The sequence below is a fragment of the Homo sapiens genome, chromosome 11 (assembly GCF_000001405.40).
Source record: "Homo sapiens chromosome 11, GRCh38.p14 Primary Assembly".
Taxonomy (NCBI): domain Eukaryota; kingdom Metazoa; phylum Chordata; class Mammalia; order Primates; family Hominidae; genus Homo; species Homo sapiens.
Genome location: NC_000011.10, coordinates 200,284 through 207,672, shown reverse-complemented (window position 1 = coordinate 207,672; position 7,389 = coordinate 200,284). Strand labels below are relative to the sequence as shown.

The window sequence follows — 7,389 nt, the reverse complement described above, 5'->3', positions numbered from 1 at the left end:
AACACCAAACGTCACATCCGCGGTGCTGCTGTAATCCCAGCACCTTGGGAGCCCGGCAGGCGGGGGCTGCAGTGAGCTGAGATCGCGCCACTGTCTGCGCGACAGTGCTGAAAATAAGCCACAGATATGCCCATCGCTTCCGCGCCCGGCAGTTCCCCACCCTCGGCCCTAAGCCGGAAGTCAGCGAGCCCGAAGCGGAAGGGGCTGGGCTATCTAGGGGCGTGGTCGGTGCGGAGGCGGGGCCATCGCTAGCTGGGGGCGGGGCCGGAAGCTCTTTCCCCGCGACTGCGCCACGTCTGAGGCGGCTGTGGCCGCGTCGGTGTCCGCGTCGAGGAGCCGGGGCAGGGCACGATGGCGGACTGGGCTCGGGGTGAGCGCGGGAGAGCGGAGCCGTTGGGGGCAGGGCCGGGCCGAAACCGACGCCGCTGCCTGTAGAGCCGCGTGCGCCTGCCTCTGGCCCAGCTGGGGTGACCTCGGCCGAGAGGACCCTGTCAGGGGGGCGGATTCGGATCCTTCCGGGTCCGAGCAGGGCCGGGTTTCGGCCGGCACTGCCGTTAGGACCGAAGGCGCGCGTGGCGGCCCAGCAGCTCCAGCGAGGGGTCGCGCAGCAGCGGGGTCTCCCCACTCCCCGCCGCCCCCTGTGAGATCGTTCTGCATGGGTTCGGGGTGAGCGGGAGTCGGCATTCGACAGGTCCCGAGGCCAGGCCCTAGGAGTAGAGGCTGTGCTCCGCTGGTGTCCAAGCAGGACTCTTACTTTGGCCTCGGTGGCCCCATTTCCCCTCCTGGAGCCCGTGTTCTTGTCTGCAAAGTGGGATATTGATGCCTGTCTCTGTGAGGTGTTATGATGATTAAAGGAATTTATAAATATGAAGTGGCTGGAAGGACGCTGGCATCCCTTCCTGACACTGAAGCTAGGGAGGAGGTGGTTCTCACGCACCTGATGTGACAGAACTTCCTTATCCCCTGGCCCAGCCTGTCACAGGCCAGGCCTCTGCGAGCACTCTGCCCTGGGTGTTGCAGGAAGCCCCATGCGGGATGCAGACCAAGGATCCCGCTCCTGGTCGACCTCAGCTCCCGTCTCGGGGAAATTGGGAACTTTGCTCAGCCATTTTCTGTGCGGTAAAGGGCCTTCCCAATGTTCTGTCCTGGTTCCTTGCCACCTCTTCAGGACCTAGCTCAAAGGTCGTCTCTGCAGGAGCCTTTCTGCTGCCTTGCTGGGTACTTTTCCCAAGTCTTTTCTATGCTCTTAGCAGAGTTTACTCTTTTTCTATAAGAATGGGCTCCACATACACAGATGGTGACCTCCCTGGATGCAAGTGTCACATCATACTAGCACCCCAGGGCTGGGTCCAGTTTTTGCTACACAGTCTCAGAAGGTGCTGGTTGGACCGAACCCATTGTGGGTGCTTGCCCATCCCCACCTTGATGTGTACACAGGACATGTGTTCACATGACAGGCCCTTACACACATCGTCCTTTATGCAGCCTGTCTCATGTGCAAGATTCACCTGCTGGAACCTTGGTTAGGGCCCCCTAGATTTCTGACTCACCCAGATGTGGTTGGAGTGAGAGGGGTCAGGGGCCGTGCTCACCGATGGATGCAACCCTTCAGCCCCTCTCTTTTCTCAGCTCAGAGCCCGGGCGCTGTGGAAGAGATTCTAGACCGGGAGAACAAGCGAATGGCTGACAGCCTGGCCTCCAAAGTCACCAGGCTCAAATCGGTCAGTGGTGGTCTGTCCTCTTACCTCCACCTGGTGCCTTTGGGGAATGGGGATCAGAGGGAAGGCAGAGGGCCCAGAGGAGTTTCAGGCAGTTTTCCATCCTCATCCAATTCGTGGCTGTGCTCACCTGCATGAGGCCCCAGCTGACACCTGGACCTTTCTGTCTGCTGCAGCCCCACTGTGTCTGGCAGAGTTGTTGGCAGGGTTTATCTGGTCTGGGGAGGGTGAGTGCTGTATTATGTGTCTGCTCTGGCCCAACCCTGCCCTCTCTGTCTGCTGAACAGCTCGCCCTGGACATCGATAGGGATGCAGAGGATCAGAACCGGTACCTGGATGGCATGGTAAGGGCCCACGGTGTGCGTGTATCAGTGCCCTGCCCTAGCACTACCTGCTGCAGAGCCTGCAGTGTCTCCTTCAGCACTGGTGCGGGTGGGTGGTCAAATCACCACTTCTGTGTGATCTTGCTGGGATTCCTCCCTTAGGACTCGGATTTCACAAGCATGACCAGCCTGCTTACAGGGAGCGTGAAGCGCTTTTCCACAATGGCAAGGTCCGGACAAGACAACCGGAAGCTTCTATGTGGCATGGCCGTGGGTCTAATTGTGGCCTTCTTCATCCTCTCCTACTTCTTGTCCAGGGCAAGGACGTGAGCCAGTGGGAGCTGGTGTCTGTGGGTGCCAAGGGCAGCCAGGGTCTTCCCTGCCTGGTGTTTTGGGCTCCAGAGGACTTACCTACAAAATACTCCTTTGCAATGATAATTGTGGGTCAGGAATCTTCTTCCTGTGTGGCAGGAGGCTGCGGCTGCCTGTGACCTGATGAGCTCATGTTGGCTGGTCCCATGTGTGAAAGGGACTCTCTCGGGGAAACCAAGGCCCAGCCCCTCCCCCCTCCCCCAGGTGCTAGAGAGCCAGGCAGAGCTGGGGCCACAGCGTGTCTGGAGAAGCCAGGTCTGAGCAGAGCAGCTGGTGAATCCCAGACGTGGCCACCTGTGGCTTGCAGCCCTTCTCCCCGCGCTTGGGACTCTGACATCTTAAGGCTGCACGGTCGTGTCCTTGTCTGGGTGAGGCCATGTCTGTGATCCAAGGTTCCTGGAACTGACACAGGAAGGGGCTGTGAACCCTAAGTGGGTGTCATCTCCTCCGACCGAGGCTTCTCACCCTGGAGATGGCAGTTACTCCTGGCCATGGTTGCTGAGCATGGGCAGACCAGTGGAGGCCACCCTACTGTGTTATCTGCGCCTTCGATGAAGTGAGACCCTTGGGGAGAACGGGCTGTGGATGAAGGAGTGGACTGCAGCCTTGGCCTAGCCACTGGGCTGGGATCTTCTGGGTCATGTGACTGTGTATCCAGGAGCAGAAACTTGTATTCTCAGGATTCAGGATCTACCCAGCACCAAAGATGTATTTTCAGGAGAACAGACCTAGAAATGGGCCTGTCTGGCATTTCAGAGTCAGGCAAAGCAGGCAGGGCCAGGGAGCTTCTGTGGGTCTACACAAGAAGGTTCCTGTGAGGGCTATCAGTTGTTGCCTTCTAGCTTGCTGGTAACTTTGGCGCCTCCGCCAAGCCCTGCCAGACTCCCCTGGCTGTGATGGCATTCTGTGCCATCCTCCTTGTCCCCAGCCTCTGCAGGATGCCCTCCCTACCCACCTCTCCCTGGGCCTTCCCTGTCCACTGGGCTGGATTCATGTTCAAACCACTGGACTGGCAGGGCAACGACTTCTTCCCACCTCAAGATGAGGTCCTCGCCCCCTTGTCTTGGCATAAAAACACCTTTAAAGCATGAGCCATGTGCTTCTTTGCCCTTCTCTGTCCTGTTCCAATCTTCTGCCTCCCAGTCACTCCCTGGGGACTATGGGATCACTGTCCCCCCACCTGTGTGGCCACACCATATGTCCTGTCAATCCAGAACTGCCTCTGAGCTCCAGGCTGACCACAGATCAGCCACAGCCTGATGCCTGCAGCCCCACTTTGCTCACCCTTCCCCTCCCCTCCTCCTTCCTTCCACACAGCAAGCCTACCTTTCTCCATCCATGCTCACCATAGCCCCCTTCCTTGTGACCTGGACCCTCCATTGTACCTGGCTGAGACTGTCAGCCTCCTGGAGGAGTGGGGTCCACCTTCTTCTTGCCCTATGCAGTGCAAGCTCACTTCTCACCCAGCAAGGTTGACTCATCTGCCTCCATGTCTCTGGGGCTTTGCTGTTGCCCTGAAACCTAGCTGGGCTGGTCTTGCTCCCAGCTTGCTTCCCCCTCCTCGGATGTCCCTTTGCAGGCCCCTGTCGTTCCTCCGGCACCAGTGTCCTTGGCTGCCATGGCAAGCTCATCAGGGGCTTGTACCCTGGTCACCAAGCATGGTAGCAGCTGCCTGCATTGTATCTCCATCTGGTCACTGCAGGTGCCAACCCTTCATCCCCCATGTTTTCCTGGGCCATGGAGGGCTGACCTCCGTTTCTGGGGAATGTGGCTGAGCTGTGGTAACCAGCTACACCCCAGGTGCTCTTTCCATGGTGGTGCCTGCTCATCTTGCTGATGCAAACTAGGAAGTTAGGCTGCATCTCGGAGTGGCTTTCGCTGGAGAGGTGCTTTGCTGTCTCTCAGACTCAGTCACTGTGTTCCCTCCCCGCCTCTCTTATCTCCATGGCTGTTTGCAGCTCTCCCAGGTACTTTGGGGTCTGAGCTGGAATTCCTTTGTGGTTTGCTCTTCTGCTTCTCACTCTTGTATTAAGAAGGATTCCACAAAGGGAGAGTGGCATCCCTGCTGCTGCTGTGCCAGACCAGAGTTTCCTGAGGGGCCCTGACCCTAACCCTCCAGCTCAGCCCTGTACACCTGACCCTGTAAATGAGTGGGGTTTGCTGACTGTAATCCCTGACACCAGTAAAACCAAAAGGACTCTTGGGGGCTCAGTGTGAGAGCCAGGGTTACCTACTCTGCCAAGTGAGGACAAACTGCTAGGCTGTATCCCATAATTTCAGGATGAGAAACATTAACAATAAAAATTTGTAGTAAACATAACCTCATGAAGAACTAATCATATGGTCTCTGTCGTCCTCATTTCCTTGGGATTTGAGGGAATTTTGTTTGGAGCTCACCCTGGTCCACAGGCTGGCCATGAGCACTGGTGCTGTAAACCCTGTCCCTTCCCTCATTCACCCCGTGGCTGGCCATGAGCACAGGTGCTGTAAACCCTGCCCCTTCCCTCATTCACCCCATCAGGGTTGACTTTGGGCAGAGCAGCCACAGACTCACCTGAAAGGGGCCTGCCTCTCCACACCTGTGGGTATTTCTCGTCAGGTGGGACGAGAGACTGAGGAAAGAAGACACAGAGACAAAGTATAGAGAAAGAACAGTGGGCCCAGGGGACCGGCACACTAAGCGTGGGAGGACCCGCACTGGTGCCGGTCTCCGGGTTCCCTCAGTATTTATTGATGATTATTTTCACTATCTTGGCAAGGGGAGTGCAGCAGGAGAACAGGGAGAACGGTGATGGTGGGGAGAAGGTCAGAAGGAAAACGTGAGTAAAGGAATCTGTGTCATAAATAAGTTCAAGGGAAGGTACTGTGCCCGGATGTGCACGTAGGCTAGATTTAGGTTTCTCTTTACCCAAACATTTTAGTATAGCAAAGAGTAACAGAGCAGTATCATCGCTAGCATATTTCGCCTCTAGCCACAGGGTGGTTTTCTCCTATCTTAGAATAGAACGAATAATCGAATAATCGGCTTTACACCAAGACATTCCGTTCCCAGGGACATGCGGGAAACAGAGGGCTTCCTCTTATCTCAGCTGCAAAGAGGCCTTCCTCTTTTACGAATCCTCCTCAGCACAGACCCTTTACGGTTGTCGGGCTGGGGGACGGTCAGGTCTTTCCCTTCCCACGAGGCCGTATCTCAGGCTGTCTCAGTTGGGGGAAACCTTGGACAATACCCAGGCTTCCTCGGACAGAGGTCCCTGCAGCTTTCCGCAGTGCATTGTGTCCCTGGTTAATAGAGAATGGAGAATGGTGATGACTTTTACCAAGCATACTGTCTGCAAACATATTGTTAAGAAGGCACACCCTGCATAGCCCTAAATCCCTTAAACCTTGATTTAATACAGCACATGTTTCCGTGAGCACAGGATTAGGGCTAACGTTACAGGTTAACAGCATCTCAAAGCAGAACAATTTTTCTTTGTACAGATCAAGATGGAGTTTCTTTTGTCTTCCTTTTCTAGGTAGGCACAGTAACAGTCTGATCTTTGCCCCACACTCACCCACTTCCTGCTGTGTTACCCTTCCCTGCCCAAGTTCCTGAAACGCAGATGGGGATCCTGATAGCATCACCACTTAGGGAATAAGTGAGTTGGCCGGGCGCGGTGGCTCATGCCTGTAATCTCAACACTTTGGGAAGTCAAGGTGAGTGAATCACAAGGTCAGGAGTTCGAGACCATCCTGACCAACATGGTGAAACCCCGTCTCTACTAAAAATACAAAAATTAGCTGGGTGTGGTGGCACGTGCCTATAATCCCAGCTACTCAGGAGGCTGAGGCAGCAGAATTGCTTGAACCTGGCAGACGGAGGTTGCAGCGAGCTGAGATTGTGCCATTGCACTCCAGCCTGGGCGACAGAGCGAGACTCTGTCTCAGAAAAAAAAAGAAAAAAAAGAGAGTAAACATGAAGTGCTTCGAATACACAGCCTGGCACGATCACAGCGAAGTGAAGGTCAGCAGTTGTACTGTGCTTTATACAGGTGCAGGTGATGGTCCTACCAGTGTGTCTGTTGAGGTCACCCGTCCTAAAGTGACCTCCCTGAAAGCCTGAGTTGAAATCCAGACTCCACTTCTTGAGGCCTGGCCTTGGACTCTTGGGCAGCCTCTGGAAATCCTCCTCTTCAGGCCCAGCGGATACCCCACCTTCCCTGTCCATGTCTTCCTTGTACTCCCTGTATGACCCATTGATGTGTAACAGGTCACCCTAAAACTTCACCTAAAATAGCAATGATTTATCATGTCTCATTGAATTTGAGACGGGGCACGCTTCAGGGTTGGCTGTCTTTGCTCTACAGTGTCGAGGCCTCACTGGGAGATGTGGTCCTGGGGCTGCCTTCACTTGAAGGCTCACTCACAGGTCCAGAGGTCAGTGCTGGTGAGTGGAGGGCCTGGCCGGGCTGACTGCCTGTGGCCGGGCTGACGACTGCCTGTGGCCGGGCCGACTGCCTGGGATGGTGCATTCAGTCTCGCCATGGTTGAGCTTCCTCACAACATGATGGCTGGTGCTGGAGCAAACATGGACACGTGGCAGAAGGGTGGGGGTGGGGTGGGCTCTGGTGTCCAGGCGGAAGCTGTTTCCTTGGTATGTTGTGTGCGTGGCCTCAGGAGCCTGGTGGCATCACTTCTGCCATACCTCATTACTCAGGACACCCACAGGCTATAGTCCAGATTCAAGGGAAGGGACCCAGCATTGCTCAGAGGTGATGAGCACAGGTGTGGCCATCTTTGGGTTCAAGGCAGAAAGCATCAGGAGGGACAGTGTGGAGCAGGGTGTCTGAGGTACTCAGGCCCTACCATCTCTCCCCACACAGACCCTGGGCCCTCCCATCTCACCAAGCTGACCCTGGGCCCTAGAAGGCAGGATGGGACCCCTTGTGGGCAAGTGCTGACAGCCTACGGGGGCTCCTTTCTGGAAATGCTTG

The 7,389-nt window shown here is 55.9% G+C and overlaps 1 protein-coding gene across 2 annotated transcripts, besides 5 other annotated features; it reads left to right on the top strand.

Moving 5' to 3' along the window:
* Positions 274–4,749, top strand: BET1L (Bet1 golgi vesicular membrane trafficking protein like). Of its 2 annotated transcripts, NM_001098787.2 has the most exons (4): positions 274–370; positions 1,630–1,721; positions 2,006–2,062; positions 2,204–4,749. In NM_001098787.2, exons 1-4 carry the CDS (start codon positions 352–354, stop codon positions 2,369–2,371), a joined length of 336 nt encoding a protein of 111 aa, NP_001092257.1. In that variant the 5' UTR covers positions 274–351; the 3' UTR covers positions 2,372–4,749. The 2 variants fall into 2 exon arrangements, with proteins under 2 accessions (NP_001092257.1, NP_057610.2); NM_016526.5 differs by having other exon boundaries at positions 2,006–4,749.
* Positions 313–432: a silencer, noted in NCBI's record as "silent region_2986". NCBI's record gives its function as "represses an Ori minimal core promoter by ATAC-STARR-seq in GM12878 lymphoblastoid cells {active_cell/tissue: GM12878}" and the evidence as "EXISTENCE:reporter gene assay evidence [ECO:0000049][PMID:35858748]".
* Positions 543–602: a silencer, noted in NCBI's record as "silent region_2985". NCBI's record gives its function as "represses an Ori minimal core promoter by ATAC-STARR-seq in GM12878 lymphoblastoid cells {active_cell/tissue: GM12878}" and the evidence as "EXISTENCE:reporter gene assay evidence [ECO:0000049][PMID:35858748]".
* Positions 543–1,048: a biological region, named in NCBI's record as "H3K27ac hESC enhancer GRCh37_chr11:206625-207126".
* Positions 547–1,048: an enhancer, noted in NCBI's record as "H3K27ac hESC enhancer chr11:206625-207126 (GRCh37/hg19 assembly coordinates)". NCBI's record gives its function as "activates a minimal SCP1, AML or CMV promoter by ChIP-STARR-seq in naive and primed H9 embryonic stem cells {active_cell/tissue: H9 hESC(naive and primed)}" and the evidence as "EXISTENCE:reporter gene assay evidence [ECO:0000049][PMID:30033119]".
* Positions 1,359–1,858: an enhancer, noted in NCBI's record as "H3K4me1 hESC enhancer chr11:205815-206314 (GRCh37/hg19 assembly coordinates)". NCBI's record gives its function as "activates a minimal SCP1, AML or CMV promoter by ChIP-STARR-seq in naive H9 embryonic stem cells {active_cell/tissue: H9 hESC(naive)}" and the evidence as "EXISTENCE:reporter gene assay evidence [ECO:0000049][PMID:30033119]".
* Positions 4,750–7,389: the final 2,640 nt, after the last annotated feature.